Genomic DNA, 17829 nt, shown 5'->3' on the forward strand with positions numbered 1-17829 from the left:
CTGTCACCTCCAGCTCCCTACTCGAAGCCCAGCATGACCCTGGAGCCCAACAAGGACCTGCGGCCAGGGGACACGGTGACCATCACGTGCTCCAGCTACCAGGGCTACCCTGAGGCTGAGGTGTTCTGGCAGGATGGGCAGGGTGTGCCCCTGACTGGCAACGTGACCACGTCGCAGATGGCCAACGAGCAGGGCTTGTTTGATGTGCACAGCATCCTGCGGGTGGTGCTGGGTGCAAATGGCACCTACAGCTGCCTGGTGCGCAACCCCGTGCTGCAGCAGGATGCGCACAGCTCTGTCACCATCACACCCCAGAGAAGCCCCACAGGTTGCTTTGCTTAAATGTCCCCTTGGGGGAGGGGGGTTCTGCTTCTGTCGGCAGGGGTTGGGAGCTCCGAATCTGGCCCCACCTTCAATCTCCCAGAACAGCAAGTTGCCTCCTAATGATAGGGAGAAAGATAACGGGGAGGTGGGGATGTTCACTGGAGGGGTTGGGGGCGGAGAAATCACAGGCCTTCTTAAGGCTCTCCTGACTTCAAGGCTCTGGAAGCCTCTGGGAAGAATGGAGCCACATCTGGGTCAGCAGAGGGGTGGGCGAAGGAAAGGAGTCCTGATGGCAGGATTCACCAGGGCTGGAGCTGGTGAGAGTCACCTGCCCCAGGCCTGGCCCTGGGATTGGTCTGGTCAGGCCAAGACCCACCTGCTGTGATTGTTCTCAGAAGATTGGGGAGACTCCATATCTGAGAGTCCTCAGACTTAATCTGCTTTTGCATCTAAGAAGAAAATAGGAAGATGGAACAGGGTCTGGGAATTGATGGGGGAAGAGTTTGGGGGACTCGGGTGGTAGCCTAGAGAGTCCCATTTCTCCTCACCACCCTGCCCCTCTGACCCCGCCCCCAGGAGCCGTGGAGGTCCAGGTCCCTGAGGACCCGGTGGTGGCCCTAGTGGGCACCGATGCCACCCTGCGCTGCTCCTTCTCCCCCGAGCCTGGCTTCAGCCTGGCACAGCTCAACCTCATCTGGCAGCTGACAGACACCAAACAGCTGGTGCACAGTTTCACCGAAGGCCGGGACCAGGGCAGCGCCTATGCCAACCGCACGGCCCTCTTCCCGGACCTGCTGGCACAAGGCAATGCATCCCTGAGGCTGCAGCGCGTGCGTGTGGCGGACGAGGGCAGCTTCACCTGCTTCGTGAGCATCCGGGATTTCGGCAGCGCTGCCGTCAGCCTGCAGGTGGCCGGTGAGCACCAGGAGGGCGACGCCTTCCCCTTGGTTCACCCTCCATTCCCTCTGCAGCCCACCCTCTGCTGCACCACTGCTCCCAGAACCCCAGTGCTGATTCCTGTACTCAGCCCCATGCATCCTTTTCCTCCCCTGCCATTGCCCTGCCCTTGACCCCTGCCCTCTGTCACCTCCAGCTCCCTACTCGAAGCCCAGCATGACCCTGGAGCCCAACAAGGACCTGCGGCCAGGGGACACGGTGACCATCACGTGCTCCAGCTACCGGGGCTACCCTGAGGCTGAGGTGTTCTGGCAGGATGGGCAGGGTGTGCCCCTGACTGGCAACGTGACCACGTCGCAGATGGCCAACGAGCAGGGCTTGTTTGATGTGCACAGCGTCCTGCGGGTGGTGCTGGGTGCGAATGGCACCTACAGCTGCCTGGTGCGCAACCCCGTGCTGCAGCAGGATGCGCACGGCTCTGTCACCATCACAGGTAAGGGCAGATGAACAGCTGGGGAAGGACGGAGCGAGTAACTCCCTCTTTACTGGACCCTAACGTGGAATTTCCATAGGTTTGGGTGGCCAGAAGACTTTCAAAATCCCTTTCATAGACTTCAGGTGCTCACACTCTTCCCCACAAGTCCTTAAGGGACTCGAGCTGATAAGAACCATTTATAATGTTTGCCTTCCTAAGAGTGCTTTTCGTGGCACTTATGCTTCTTATGCAGAGGACAAGGTACCTGCCCGAAATTTGGAGGCATGGGCAGGAATTCTGGGGCAGCCACAAGGTGTGGCCCAGGGGACTTGGTGTGGGTGTGCTTTCCAGCAGGAACTCCTCTGAGTGGTAGGAAGGTATTCTGGGTCAGTGGGCGCCATCTGATTCTGAAGCCTGAGTGACAGCTGGCCCTCCCTAGTTAGTCCCCAACACCTGAGTCAACGTCAGCTCTTCTTCCTGCAGACTTGCGCTCCACCCAGGCAGCCGTTGGATGGGCAGGGGCTGTCTCTGCTGCCCCCGTGTGGTCAAACACCAGATAGAGGCCACCCCTTTAGTGATTGTTAGTCTCTGGTTTCCAGGTTCTAGCCTCGTGGGCACCTCTTGTGCCTGAGGGTGTGAAGAGGGTTGAGGTCAAGAGCCGCAGTCTCCATCTGTGTTTGGCCCTGAGAGGCCTCTGGTCAGTCACTTCCTGGGCCGACGTGCTCAGTCTGGCTCTTCAGTATCTCTCCCTGGCCAACTGAGCTTTCCCAGGGACCTCGCCCTGGTGCACAGTGAGGTCAGGACAGCAGGTTTTGTCTGTCTGGTTCTCCTCTTGTCTTCTGATGACTTCCATCTGCCCCTCAGCCCATCCAAGTTCTGATCTCACCCCAAGTTTCCAGGTCTGCATGCACCTCAGGACTCACTTATTCCTGTCCTCTCCCTCTTGAGACCTATGTGGTCCCCACTTCTGACAAGCTCGGAGCCAGGGCCCGTCACATCGTCTGCTTGGAGTTCAGGCTCACTCCTCCTTCTCTCTTACGTGTTTCCTTCTGGCAAGGTTGTGCTCCTTCTGCCCACCCCTTCCCCAAGATGGAAAACACTCCCTTCCTGTGCTCTCCAGGAGAGAGTAGCTGCCCTGAGCTCTTGAATGTTCTGAGACATGTCCTTGACCTTTTAGAGAACAGCATATGGTTTGGTGGTGAAAATGCTGTTCACAGGCGAAAAGAAGAAATAGAAGATAGAGTGATCTTGGCAGAGGATATGAAGCTTTCAGAGGAGGGAGGGTGGTAGTGAGGACACCTCCAGGGGCAAATGGGAGCTGAGAAGGCCTTGAAGGATAAGGGGTCTTTGTGGTCATTTGCACCCTGGGCTGAGCTGGATATTTGCGATGCTGTGCAGAAAGGACTTATGAGTATAAATGTGATTGCAAAGAGAATGTTTATCTCACCTAAGAGAAAATTCTCTATTTTAAACTTGAGTAGCTAACATTTAAAGTGATTTCAAAAAAATTTAGGGCTGGGCATGGTGGCTCACACCTGTAATCCCAGCACTTTGGGAGGCCAAGGCGGGTGGATCACTTGAGGTCAGGAGTTCGAGACCAGCCTGATCAGCATGGTGAAACCCTGTCTCTACTGAAAACACAAAAATTAGCTGGGCGTGGTGGCATGCACCTGTGGTCCCAGCTACTTGGGAGGCTGGGGCAAGAGAATTGCTTGAACCTGGGAGGCGGAGGTTGCAGTGAGCCGAGACAGTGTCACTGCACTCCAGCCTGGGTGACAGAGCAAGACACTGTCTCAAAAAATAAATAAAATAAAAATAAAGTGATTTCATTGAGGCCATTGTTGCCAAGCACATTTCACAGACGAAGAAACTGAGGTCCACAGAGAAGGGGGAACTTTCCCAAGGTCACAGACTGGCACAGCGGCTCTCAATCTTTGGGGGTCAGACCCTTCTTTGAAAATTGGATAAATGATCAATGCAGCAGTTTGCACATAACTCTGGAGGGTTCGCTGCCTCTCTAAACTCCTCCGTGGGTCTGTAGACCTGGGCTCCAGTGCCCTGCAGTGAGGAGATGAGCCATGATCAGAATCCAACTTTGGCCTCTCAGCCTAATTTCCTCTCCTTCCCACCAGCCAGCCTCCTGTTTCTGTTAGAGCAGGTCTGGCCTACTTTGGAGCCCTTGGCCTGTATTTTGCTTCGGGCAGCTTTGTATCATGTCAAACATTCTGGGATTCAGACTTTCAGTCCTCCAGCTGGTCTCTCCCGTACCTGATGAAGTTAGTGAAGTTGTGTGCTGTGCAGAGCCTCTTGGAGGGGGATTTATGGAGCAAGCCCTAGAGACGTGGCCTGAGCCTGTCCTTTCTTGGGTGAACAGGGCAAATGTAATTTGTGTTCCAGGGACACCACCAGTTAAGGGGGAACATAGAGACCCTCTGCTTGAGTATTTCCATGGCTCTGCCCCCTCCTCTGCTGTCAGAGCCCCATGATGGGATTTCCAGGGTGGTTATTGTTTTTTAATGTGTGCTCTGTGGATGGGCCCTCTTGGCCACATCAGCTGCTGCCCTCCTTTTCTGCACACCTCTCTTCATCACTGGGGTGATGGATCCCTGTGCTTCCAATGGCCAGAGCAGCAGTTTTGCCAGCAGTGCCTATTGAAGGTGACATCTGCAGATCCATGCACGAGGTGCATCTATGCTGGGGTCTCTGCCGCCAAAGGGTCCATAGCACCGCGCACTGCACTGACAGGGCCTCCTGCAGAAGCTGCTGAGGCCCTGGGTGTGCATCGTCTCCAGACAGCAAAGGAAAGCAGCACTGTCTTTTGTCAGGCTTTTCCTCTCAAGACTTCTCCCTAGGACCCAGCTGGGTGCAGGGGCTGGGCTAGAGGATGGTATGTAAGATGGAGTCACACAGGCTGTGCTCAGAACAGCTCCTGGCCCTACCCAGCTTTGGGTCCTCAACTTCATCCCTCTTGACGTGACAGCTCTAAGAGGAGGGGCCTCAGTGTTTCATGTTAATATCCCCCTGGCAAGGCCCCTGCAGACCTACCTGACTCCTTGGGGAAACTCCAAGCCCTCACTCCAGCCCCGTCAGTGACCTCATCTGTATGTAGGACTCAGCGAACATTTTCTGTAAATGGCCAGGGAGTAAATGTTTTTAGGCATCGTGGGCCACACACCATCTCTGTTGCTGCTGCTTCTCCTTCTGTTCCTCCTCCGCCTTCCCCCATCTTTTTTTGGTAACCCTTTACAAATGTAAAAACCATCACTAGTTTGTGGACTGTACAAAAACAGGCCACAAGCCAGCTTTGGCCCATGGGCTGTAGTTTGCTGCCTTCTGATCCATAGAATGGGAGATGTCACCAGGTAGGGCTGAAGCAGTCAAAAGAGGGCCTCTGGAGGAGGTGAATATTGAGCTAAGCAGAGAATTTGGGAAACTGATAGCATTAGTGCAGAGGCTGGAAGGAGCCAGTTGCTTCTGGAGAGAATGGTTAGGACACCAGTTTGGCTGAAGCTGAGGCTCCTACAGTAGAATTAGAAAACTTAGGGGAGGGTAAGCAGCAGCCAACTTCTAGAGGTCCTTGAATCACGCTTGAAGCTTGAAGCATTATTCTAAAGTCACTAGGGAGCCATAGAAGGTACTTGAGCATCAATTCAACCACAGGCTCTTCAGCCCTTCCTGGTTGAGGCGTGTCCACATCAGCCAGGGTTGTATCAGGGTTTGGGGAGTGTATGGCGAAGGGACTGTAGGAACTTAAGTGAGCTTTATTCATAGTGTTAGGGCCCAGTGAGGGTGGGAGCCCCTGTTCACACTTGGAGCCAATGGTGCTGTCCTCCGGGACATGGGGCCAGGCATGACAGTCTCACTGTTGCTACTTTTCCTCTCAGGGCAGCCTATGACATTCCCCCCAGAGGCCCTGTGGGTGACCGTGGGGCTGTCTGTCTGTCTCATTGCACTGCTGGTGGCCCTGGCTTTCGTGTGCTGGAGAAAGATCAAACAGAGCTGTGAGGAGGAGAATGCAGGTGAGTGTGTGTGTATGTGTGTGCGTGCGCATGCACACTTATGTGTCTTGGGGTATGTTGCTGTCTTTGATGTCAATAGAGTGTCACTTTCTAGTGACAGAACGAGTGTGTGTGTGCAGATGGGGCTGGATTTGTCTGTGTGTGACCTTGAGTCTACGTCTTGTGTGTGTGAACAAGCGTGAGCCTGTCTGTCCATGTGCAGATACCACAGGATGAATGTGGATGAGTGTGACTGGAAGGTGGTGGGAGTGTAAGGCCAAGTGCTACAAAGGGATGAGTGTGTGCCAACAAGTGTGCCTGTGAAAGTGTAAGTCAGTCACGTGTGTGTGAGAGAGCAGGCCAGAGCATGGAAGCTGTGCGGCACAAATGTAGGCATGCCAGGGGCGTGCATGGCACTGGGGGTGATCGTGCCTGCCTTGGAGTGAGTTTGAAGCAGCTGCCATTTGCGGGGCTGAGGGTCAGCCCGAGCTGGCATTGGTGACTGGTAAGTGGGTGAGAGGACATTGGTGGGTGGTGAGTTGACCCTGGTGGGTAAACAGATGCATGAGAGTAGATGGGTAGTCAGAGGCTGGGGATGGCTGGAGGTTGGGAAGGAGAGGGAAGAAGAGTGGTCAGTTGGCAGATAGGTGAGTACTTGTGAGGTAGACAGGTGGAAGGATGAGCAGGTAGACGGCTGGTTGGTTACATCTGTTGGAGGTTGATGGTTGGCAGGGCTACTGAGCGAGCGGATGGGTGAGGTGATGGGTGGGTGGGCTGGTGGAGGGTAGGTGGATGGTCTTTGGCTGGGTGTGTGGCGGGGGCTCCAGGTTGAGTGGATGGTCTTTGGCTGGGTGAGTGGTGGGCTCCAGGCTGGGTGGATGGTCCTTGACTGGGTAAGTGGTGCACTCCAGGCTGGGTGGATGGTCTTTGGCTGGGTGAGTGGTGGGGGCGCCAGGCTGGGTAGTTTTTGGCTGGGTGAGTGGTGGGCTCCAGGCTGGGAGCCCCTTCATGTTGTCACAGGCTCGGCTCTGCTGTGCTCTGCTCTCGGGCTCTAACCCGTGTCTAGCATTTGGTCCGCAGGTCAGGCCCACTCAGGCCCTGTTCACCAGCTTCCTGCACTCTCAGGTGGGAAAGTGCTGGCATGAAAATGGGCTTGCAAAAGATTTTTGTTTATTCTGAGTTCTTGCCTTTGCAGGAGCTGAGGACCAGGATGGGGAGGGAGAAGGCTCCAAGACAGGTGAGTCTGAACTTGGAGCTGGCCCTCTTGGCTGGGAGAGGGACATATGGGAAAGGAGAGAGGACTCTAGGATCTGGAGGGGCCAGATTTGCTGTAAGGTTTGAATGAAATGTGTTCTGTGGACTCAGACCTCCCCACCCCGGTGAGTCTGCTCTTTGCCCAGAGTTAGGCAGGAAGTGGATCACCCAGTTCCCTCCCAGGTGTGGCTTCATTTCTCCTGCCAACCTTTACCCATCTGCCAGGGCCGATTCCACCTGATTGGCCCCACACCGTGGAGTCTGGTGGCTTCCTAGGGGTGGGAGCAGGGGCTCCGGAGATAGGGAGTCTGGGTTTAAGTTCCTGCTCCATCTCAGGTAAACAGAGTGGCCTTGAGCAAGATGCTTTGCCTCTCTGGCTTCGGTTTCCTCTTATGTAAAATGAGGATAATCACAGATTCATAGGTTGTTTGAATTATTAATTGAGATAATGTATATAAAGGACCTAGTATCATATCTAGTGCCAAGTGCTTAATACTCTGGAGTCCTATTACTATTAGGCAAACAGCTTAAGACAATACTGTTCTAGTTACAGACTGTGTAGCTTTGGGCAAGGTGCCTTGCTCCTCTGGGCATCAGTTTCCCATCTGTAAAATGTCATCCTGACCCTGCCCTGATGGCACCAGAGGGCTGTTTTGAAGCTCTTTCAGGTGACTGGAGAGGGAGGTACTTGCAAAGGACATAGGAGCATGGCACAGTAAGCTGGGGGCCCAGCTTGGGTGGGTGCCAAGGCACTGGTGCCCATGGCCGACTCCCAGGGGATCCTGGGCTGGGAGAGGCAGGTTTCCGCTGAGCCATTTGGGATGGTTCCAGTTAATGCCAGTTCCCTCCCCACCCCCGCAGAAGGAAGGGCAGGAGATTGACACTTGGGGACTGCTATAAATTATGCCAATTAATTCTTTGCCTGTTGGTGCCCAGCGTGGCAGGCGTAGAGACAGCTCTGGGATCAGACCTCATTCTTCATGCTCAGAGGCAGATGTAGTTGGCAGAAGGGAGGGAGTGAGGAGAAGAGTGTGGGTGATGGAGTTGGTCAGTCTCATTCCACATGGTCCCAGGCCCACCTGCAAATCTGCCAGCCTCCTTTAGCTTCTCACATCACCCTGTGTGTACATTGGGCTCAGGGCACTTCCGCATCTCCAGCTGGAGGTGGAGGGCTCGAGGGTTGTCCCATTCTATAGATGCAGAAAACTAAGGCCCAGAGAGGAGAATGACAAGCCACAGAGTGGAACTGGGACCTGGGACTGGGGCTTGGGACAGCAACCTAGGGCCCCTTCCCTTGTGCTATGAAGTGGTCCCACTCTGCTGACTTGTCCCGCCCCTTCCAGCCCTCACTCCTCCCTCTGCCTGACTCCCTACCCCACCACTTCCCATGGTTCCTCCCTCACCGTGTGCGCCTTCCTTTTTTTACAGCCCTGCAGCCTCTGAAACACTCTGACAGCAAAGAAGGTAAAGACACCTGGGCTTGAGGTTGTGTCTGTGTATGCACACATCTGTGTGTGAGAGGCTGAGAGGGTGGGTAGGCATCATCCTTTCACTAGTGACCTGAGGCCCCCTCTGCAGAAGAGCAGCCTCAACTTCCCCCTGGTGAGATGGCAGAGGGCTGAGTAACCAAGGTCCCAGCTGCTCTGATGGGACCCAAATACGACAGAGGCTTAAGCAGGACAGGAGTTTATTCCTCCTTCCTGTGATAGTGTGAGCATAGGTAATCGTAAAACCACTGATGACCTGGAGCCAGGTTCCACTTACCTGGATTCTGCCCTCTTCAACTTCAAGCTTTCACTCCTAGGTCTAAGAGGCTGTTTGTGCTCCCACGCCCCCTCCAGAGCCAAGAGGGAGAGAAAGGAAGGATATGTTTCCTTCTAGAGCTTGAGTGGAAGTAGCCTGCATCACTTCCGCTTACATTCCATTGGTCAGAACCCAGGCATATGAGCCCTAACTCAGGGGAGGCTAGAAAAGTGTTCAGCTGGGTAGCCATGTCCCTGGCGCACAGTGGGTGGTTAGTAAATGTCCATAGTCATTATTGGGCCTATTGTTATAATGTCAGTGATGACATTTGGAAATACAGGAGATAGGTCATTTCCTTCCTGTTTTTCAGAATCAAATAACCATAGAAGAGCTGGGCAGATGGAGATAAAAAGTGTCAGCTTAGGCCAGGCATGGTACTTCACACCTGTAATCTCAGCACTTTGGGAGGCCGAGGTGGGTGGATCACTTGAGGTCAGGAGTTTGAGACCAGCCTGGCCAACATGGTGAAACCCTGTCTCTACTAAAAATACAAAACTTAGCCGGGCGTGGTGGTGCATGCCTGTAATCCCAGCTACTTGGGAAGCTGAGGCGGGAGAATCACTTGAACCTGGGAGGCAGAGGTTGCAGTGAACTGAGATTGCACCTGTGCACTCCAGCCTGGGCAACAGAGCAAGATTCCATCTCAAAAAAAAAAAAAAAAAAAAGTCAGCTTGGTTTTGAAGAGTTGCTGGAGAATGTGGCCTGGATGGGCAAACCAGTTTGCTTCCTAACCCTGCTCCTTGGTGAGGCAGCCTGCCCCCTCAGTCTCTGGCCATGCTGGACAACCACAGAGGCAGTGCCCAGATGGGGGAGCTCTTCTCCTCTCCCCAGGGACATACAGAGCCCCAAGAATGGGTGAGGGAGAGGGCAGGGGAAGGGCCCAAGCCCTTCTTCCCAAGTCTCCATTCAGCTTCAGATGCAGAGTGGGGTCTGAAAGATGAGTCTTTGGGATGGCCCTCCACATGGAGACAGGAAGCCCAAGGGAAGGAGGAGGGCCCCTGCCGTGTCACTCTCAGGGAAACCAGTGTGGAGGGGACACTGGGAAGGCTGCCTGCTGGACGAGGGAGTTGGGCCAGGCCTTGGAGGGTGGATGGGATGGACAAACAGGAGATGAGAAGGGAAAAGTGTTGCACGTAGAGGGAGAGTGGAGGGAAGTGTATCGGGCTGTGGGCCTGTGGGTACTGAGAGGGGGCTGCGTGAGGTGGTCCCCCTCAGGTGCCCCGGCGTGCCTGGCACCTGCATCTGTGTCTGGGCCTCCAGGGCCGTGGTCAGCACGGGGGCTGTCCGTTGGGCTGCTGTCTCACACACACTCCCCACTTGAAGTCTGACCAGGTGCTTGGGCTTCTGGCATAATCCCAAAAATAGATCTTCTGGCATCTAATGCTTTTCCCTTCCCTTTTTTTTCTTCCCATCATGAAATGAAGATGATGGACAAGAAATAGCCTGACCATGAGGACCAGGGAGCTGCTACCCCTCCCTACAGCTCCTACCCTCTGGCTGCAATGGGGCTGCACTGTGAGCCCTGCCCCCAACAGATGCATCCTGCTCTGACAGGTGGGCTCCTTCTCCAAAGGATGCGATACACAGACCACTGTGCAGCCTTATTTCTCCAATGGACATGATTCCCAAGTCATCCTGCTGCCTTTTTTCTTATAGACACAATGAACAGACCACCCACAACCTTAGTTCTCTAAGTCATCCTGCCTGCTGCCTTATTTCACAGTACATACATTTCTTAGGGACACAGTACACTGACCACATCACCACCCTCTTCTTCCAGTGCTGCGTGGACCATCTGGCTGCCTTTTTTCTCCAAAAGATGCAATATTCAGACTGACTGACCCCCTGCCTTATTTCACCAAAGACACGATGCATAGTCACCCCGGCCTTGTTTCTCCAATGGCCGTGATACACTAGTGATCATGTTCAGCCCTGCTTCCACCTGCATAGAATCTTTTCTTCTCAGACAGGGACAGTGCGGCCTCAACATCTCCTGGAGTCTAGAAGCTGTTTCCTTTCCCCTCCTTCCTCCTCTTGCTCTAGCCTTAATACTGGCCTTTTCCCTCCCTGCCCCAAGTGAAGACAGGGCACTCTGCGCCCACCACATGCACAGCTGTGCATGGAGACCTGCAGGTGCACGTGCTGGAACACGTGTGGTTCCCCCCTGGCCCAGCCTCCTCTGCAGTGCCCCTCTCCCCTGCCCATCCTCCCCACGGAAGCATGTGCTGGTCACACTGGTTCTCCAGGGGTCTGTGATGGGGCCCCTGGGGGTCAGCTTCTGTCCCTCTGCCTTCTCACCTCTTTGTTCCTTTCTTTTCATGTATCCATTCAGTTGATGTTTATTGAGCAACTACAGATGTCAGCACTGTGTTAGGTGCTGGGGGCCCTGCGTGGGAAGATAAAGTTCCTCCCTCAAGGACTCCCCATCCAGCTGGGAGACAGACAACTAACTACACTGCACCCTGCGGTTTGCAGGGGGCTCCTGCCTGGCTCCCTGCTCCACACCTCCTCTGTGGCTCAAGGCTTCCTGGATACCTCACCCCCATCCCACCCATAATTCTTACCCAGAGCATGGGGTTGGGGCGGAAACCTGGAGAGAGGGACATAGCCCCTCGCCACGGCTAGAGAATCTGGTGGTGTCCAAAATGTCTGTCCAGGTGTGGGCAGGTGGGCAGGCACCAAGGCCCTCTGGACCTTTCATAGCAGCAGAAAAGGCAGAGCCTGGGGCAGGGCAGGGCCAGGAATGCTTTGGGGACACCGAGGGGACTGCCCCCCACCCCCACCATGGTGCTATTCTGGGGCTGGGGCAGTCTTTTCCTGGCTTGCCTCTGGCCAGCTCCTGGCCTCTGGTAGAGTGAGACTTCAGACGTTCTGATGCCTTCCGGATGTCATCTCTCCCTGCCCCAGGAATGGAAGATGTGAGGACTTCTAATTTAAATGTGGGACTCGGAGGGATTTTGTAAACTGGGGGTATATTTTGGGGAAAATAAATGTCTTTGTAAAAAGCTTTTTCTCTGTGAAGTGTTTGGAAGCAGGGTGGGCCCCAGGACTCAACCAGCAGGATTCTCTCCTGGATGTTGCAGGCTGGGGTAGGGAAGCCTGGCCCTCCTTATCTCACCGTCCTTAAATCACTGGATCCCCAAGGCCATTTGGCTCCCTCCTTGGCTTCAGTTTCCCTCTGGGTAAAGTGAAGTTGGTTGTCCAGAAAGCCAGGCCCTTTGGTCACTGTATGGGGCTCCTCCCACTGGAAGCATCACTCAATTTCTTTGCCTCAGAAAACTCAAACCTAGGCTTGTTTAGGGCCTCTACTAATGAACCCATTTTAGAGACTGTGAAGCTGAGACCCAGTAAGAAGCTGGCACCAGGAAAAGAGTTCTGAATGCTGTTTCTGGCTGACTCAATTGGATGGGCACCAGGCCAGGGATCAGAGGTCCATTCCCAGGACATAGTTCTGCCCTATGACCCTGAGCAGGACATTTACCTTCTCTGAGCCTTGGCTTTCTTGTACAAAAAATAGCCACCTATGCATAGTGGCTCATGCCTGTAATCCCAACACTTTGGGAGGCTGAGGTGGGAGGATCGCTTAAGGCCAGGATTTCAAGACTAGCCTGGGCAACATAGCAAGACCCTGTCTCTGCACAGAAATAAAAAATTAGCGAGGTGCGGTGGCACCCACCTGTAGTCCTAGTTACTCAGGAGGCTGAGGTGGGAGGATCGCTTAAGGCCAGGATTTCAAGACTAGCCCGGGCAACATAACAAGACCCTGTCTCTGCACAAATAAAAAATTAACTACAGGCACACACCTGTAGTCCTATTACTCAGGAGGCTGAGGTGGGAGAATCACTTGATCTTCAGCCCAGGAGGTCGAAGTTGCCATGAGCTGTAATTGTACCACTGCATTCCAGCCTGGGCAACAGAGCAAGACTCTGTCTCTAAAGAAAAAAAAAAAAGAAAAGAAAAATAGGACTGAGGTTTTAACTACCTTCCATTTTGAAAGACTGAGAGGAGGCGCACAGGCTTCCAGAGAGCCAGATTCAGGGCTATGGGAACCTGCCTAGGATACTGCGTTCGCTTGCCCCTGGATGACAGTGTCCTGGCACTGGGACAGCCTGGAGCTTTGCAGACCCTGGGCAGCAGGAGGAGCCTGTGCTGGGGGTGAGGACACTTGACTTTCAATCCTGGCTCTGCTGCTAACCTGTGTCCATGTCCTTCATACCTCTGAGCCTTACTTTCCTTATCCATTAGATAGGGGTGACAAGTCATCTCCCAAAAAGTATGTGGCATTCTTTACAAACTGGAGGCTTTGTTATAAAGTTGATGGCTCTAGGGGTGAGATCAGTCATGTTGCTTGAGGTCCTGTCATCGGTGCTCTGGGTGGGTATTAGGATTGAAAGACTTATGCCTTTGCCCCTTCAACCCACTGTGTGCCCTTGAGCTTGCTGCTTCACCACACTGGGCTTCAGTCCCTACCTGTAGAGACAGTAATAGTTCCTGTTTCAAAGCACTGTTGAGAGGGCTGGATAAAGCAGTGGGTGAGAAGACACTGCAATTAGGCCAGATGCAGTGGCTCACGCCTGTAAACCCAGCATTTTGGGAGGCTGAGGCAGGCAGATCACCTGAGGTCAGGAGTTCAAGACCAGCCTGGCCAACATGGTAAAACCCTGTCTCCATTAAGAATACAAAAAAATTAGCCGGGTGTGGTGGCACGTGCCTGTAGTCCCAGCTAATCAGGGGGCTGACACAGGAGAATCATTTGAGCCCAGGAGGTGGAAGTTGCAGTGAGCTGAGATCACGCCACTGCATTCCAGCTTGGGTGACAGAGTGAGACTCTATCTCAAAAATAAAAATAAAAAGACACTGCAAACCATTAGGTGCTGGGCACATGTGGGGGGCTATTCTTTCCCTCCCTGCAGTCAGGCCCACGCGCTGTTGCTCCTTAGGTGATTTTGTAGATTGAGCACAGTGACTTGGAACAAGCTCTCTGAAGCCCAGTTTGTTCATCTGTAAAACAGGCACAGGAACCCATGCTTTTTCTTTGCGACAGGGCTGGATAAGGCTCAGACAGGACACTGTATCAAGTGTTCTGGGCACGGACCCAGCAGGTGTGGGACTTGCCTGGAGGCTTAGGTGTAAAGAGAGTGGCAACTAAGTCCTCTGGTGACAAGTGCCCTGGACAGCAGTATTTTTAGCTGCCCTTCCTGGGCAAAGCTCCAACTCCTACATTTTAATGGAGAAATAATTCTCACAGTGCGACAAGCTATAGCTTGCAGGTGTCACATCCATATTAAAGAGGGGACAGAGCGAGGTTCATTTGCCTGGCTCAAGGTGTGACCAGAATTCGCCTCCAGGACCATTTGTAACCAGGGCTTGAAGACCAGTGGATCTGACTACTCACCACCCAGAAGGAGGAGACTGGGAGGAGGGGTTAAAATGGTGTGGCCAGGGCACCTGGATCATCCTGCCTCTTCTACTTGTGTGTTTGGAGCATTCTGCTTACACTCGCAGACCCTGGGCAGCAGGAGCCTGGGCTGGGGGTCAGGACACTTGACTTTGAATCCTGGCTCTGCTATTAGACTGGCCACCTTCTAGACTGTTGTATCAGTCTTACACATTTACAAAAATATCATAAACATCATGCAACCCTTTTTTCTGTTTTTCTTTACTCTTTTCCCAAGTCACTTCTTCTAGATAGAAGTGTCCTTGTCCTCTTTACCTTCTATATCGATGTGTAACATACCTCTAGTATTTACAAGATGCTAATCCTCAGTGTATGACTCCATGAATTTTTACACAAATCTCTACCCATGTAACCACTACCCAGATCAAGATATAGAACAGTTCCTGGATTCCAGAAAGTTCCCTAGTGTCCCTACCCAAGCAACAGCCCCGCCCACTTGGCTGCTTTCACCAATTAGTTTTACTTATTCTTGAACTTCATATAAATGGAATCCTGCAGTACATGCTATTTTGTATCTAGCTTCTTGCAAAGACCTCCCTCGTTCTTTTTAAATGGCTACATAGTATCTCAAAGTACTGCTGTTCTAGCCTATATTTTGCTAGTTCCTACAGTTTAGACACAAATAATGCAGGCTTGTGTTCGAGTTTCTACAGTATGGAGCCCTAGAAGTGGGATCTCTGGATACATTTTAAGTGTTACCAATTGTTTCAGCTGCCTTTTTAGCCAGTCCCTGTGGCAGTAAGAATGCAAGTGAAGAAAACTTAGGGTGGCTGGAAAAACTGATTCTAGACAGGGCAGAGATGGTGCTTGGAATTCACATCCAGTTGGTCTCTCAGAGACTTCAGAGTGGAGCCTGATTTGGTAGTGTACAGGGCCTGCAGTCATCCCTTCCACCCGCTCTGGACCACCTTGCCCTTCAGCATATGTCACTGCCGCTGCCTCAGTTTCCAGGAGCTATCTGCGTCCCCGGGACCCCAGTCCTGGGGGAGTGCGTCTGCCTCCTAGTGGATTATGTGGGCCGAGCACCGTGTTCTGAGTGTGTGTGTGCCAGGGTTGAGCCCTGCACCCGCAGCACCATAATTGATGGGGGGAGGTTCTCAGCATCTTTGGGGTTTTTCTTTAAAAGAAGGTCTCACTCTGTTGCCCAGGCTGGAGTGCAGTGGTACGGTCATAGCTCACTGCAGCCTCGACCTCCAGAGCTCGTGATCTGCCTGCCTCAGTCTCCTGAGTAGCTGGGACTGCAGGTGCCTGCCACTACACCTAATTTTATATATATATATATATATATATATATATATATATATATATATATATTTTTTTTTTTTTTTTTTTTTTTTTTTTTTTTTTTGCAGAGACGGGATCTTGCTATGTTTCCTGGGCTGGTCTCAAACTCCTGGGTTCAATCAATCCTCCTGCCTTGGCCTCCCAAAGTGCTGGGATTACAGGCAAGAGCCACTGTGCCTGGTCAGCATCCTGTTGGATGCAGGTGGCTCAGGTTAGGTTAAATCTCTTGCACTTGTGTCAGAGAGTATTCATAACCTTTGGCACTGCCAGCTCCAGGTAATTATGGTGACACTACTTCATTACTAATGAGGCAGCTCTTTGTTAGCACAGAGAAACACCTGGGTCTCATAGAGGAGGCATAACCCAGCCCTCAGACAGAGGGACTGTGACCTTTGCCTCCAGCCTTTCTCCAGCATCTGAGCAGCAAAATATCCCCTGCACCTCAGCTTCCTTAGCTAATATGATTTCTCCACCCCAGCGCTCTCCTCTGGATGTGTTTCATCCGTGTCCCTTGCAGATTGAGGCTCTGGCATGGATCACGATGCTTCAGCTCATGATAGATCACCTCTCACCTCCTGCATCCAGGGCACTATGTTCCTAGTGATACAGCTCCAGATCCCATTAGTCCAGCGGTTCTCAACCCTGGCTGCCCATTAGAATCACTTTGGGAGTTGTAAATGGTGCCTGGGCTCCATCCCCAGAAGTTCTGATGCAATTGGTTGAGTTTATTGCTAAGTATTTGATGTGCATATGCCAGTGGCTCTAGTCTGGCTTATAAATTAATGTAAAATAGGATTCAGAAGACAGCCCTGAGCTGAGACCTTTGAGACCCCACCTCTTAGATAAGCTAGCTATTCTCAGTGATCACCATATTGGACTGTGGGTTTTTTGTTTTTAATTAAGGGAAGCACACAAAATACAGGAGCAAGGAAGGTTGAGGGAAGTGATAATCTTTAGTTCAGAAAGGAGGGGGCCCTGTTCCCTGTGTTGTGGGGCTGGGGAAGAGAGCAGGCATCCTGAGTTCCTGCATTCAGACCAGACACATAGGCTATGGGAGAATGATGAAGGATGGGGTGCCGCTGGTGATGGCTCAATCCTTTTTAGCTCTAGGAAATGGGGGGCCCTGCCTACTCCTGATCATCCCCTCCCCCTTCTCCTTTCACGGCCTCCCTTTTGCCTCTGTGTCTCTCCCGTCACCCCCAGGACTCCAGATGTGCGCAGCCACGTGGCTGTTTCTGACTCCCTCTTCCCTCCAGCACCATGTCCTCCACGGAGGGAAGGAACATCTGTCCTGCTCCCTGTAGCCGTCAGTCTACGTGCATGTGCCAGGCTCAGGGAAATAATAGCCTTCGTGCTTTTCCTGCTCCCCGCCCCCCCACCTCCCATCTCACACATGCTTCAGAATCAGGGTATCCTGGGGTCTCTACCACACTGCAGCCCTGTAGTATCCAGAGTGACTGAAGCACAGGAGCTCTCCTCTACCACCCCCACCCTCCTCCTTGCAGCTCTCTGGCCTCTAGTTCTTCCTCAGTCTCAAAACTCACCTATCTGAAGTCCACCTGCCTACCTACCTACCCACCCTAATTTACAGGCCAGCATGCTCCCTGGGTGCTGGTCTACACTCTATTCTGTTTCCTTCCTGCTCCTCATGTTGCAATATCCTCTCCTAAAAAGTCCCTGCAGAGTGTGGCACCATTGTTGGAGGTGGGGAAGAGGGACTGATGTGTCTGCAGAGCCTGCCAGCCACTGACTGACATTTTGCCTTATTTGCTAAGATAATTTAGTGTAATTTGCTAATGAATGAATGCACTTCTTGTTCTTATAGCTTTTGTAATTGCATTGAAATCCATGTGCTTGCTGACAGTTTCAGCAAACGTTCCGGGAACTGAAGCTGGCCAGGTTACAGAGGGCTCAGCCTCCTTGGGTGACCATGCTGAGGGCCTTGATGACCTGTGAGGCATGGCCAGGATGCTGATTTTCTTGGTGTCTCTATCTGTGCTGCTTTTCTCAGCGTCCTCCCGTCCACTGCAGCCAGGAGGATCTGGGTCAGCCCAACAGGAGAATGTGCTGGCAGCCAGGGGTTCTGGACCTAGGACATTTTTGGAATGGGCTTTGCAGTGCTAGAAGAGAGTGCATTCTGTTCTGTCTGCAGGATGGGTGATGAGGGAGTCAGGGGGAAGTATAAGGGAGAAGGGGACAGAGATGACTGGCGAGTGGCAGAAGTTGCATGTTTCATATTCAGTCGTGTTTATAAGCATTTGCTCCAGCTCCCCCCATCCTTGGATATGCCCTCTCTCTCCTCCGCCTGTGCAGATCCTAGACACCCCCCTCCTATG

At 52.8% G+C, this 17829-nt stretch overlaps 1 protein-coding gene across 9 annotated transcripts in view; it reads left to right on the forward strand.

The window, feature by feature from the left end:
* The window catches only part of CD276 (CD276 molecule), a 30571-nt gene extending 18815 nt beyond the window's left edge, over positions 1–11756 (forward strand). For 7 of the 9 annotated variants that reach the window (XM_017022638.2, XM_011522095.3, XM_005254700.5 and 4 more), the window contains 7 exons: positions 14–328; positions 901–1239; positions 1418–1714; positions 5581–5715; positions 6890–6931; positions 8377–8412; positions 10176–11756. In XM_017022638.2, the coding sequence (XP_016878127.1) occupies positions 14–328; positions 901–1239; positions 1418–1714; positions 5581–5715; positions 6890–6931; positions 8377–8412; positions 10176–10198 (1187 nt within the window). In that variant the 3' untranslated portion in view covers positions 10199–11756. The remainder of the gene's footprint in view (positions 1–13; positions 329–900; positions 1240–1417; positions 1715–5580; positions 5716–6889; positions 6932–8376; positions 8413–10175) is intronic. The other 2 variants (NM_025240.3, NM_001329628.2) reach the window with 1 other exon arrangement.

The sequence above is a fragment of the Homo sapiens genome, chromosome 15 (genome assembly GCF_000001405.40).
Source record: "Homo sapiens chromosome 15, GRCh38.p14 Primary Assembly".
Taxonomy (NCBI): Eukaryota; Metazoa; Chordata; class Mammalia; order Primates; family Hominidae; genus Homo; species Homo sapiens.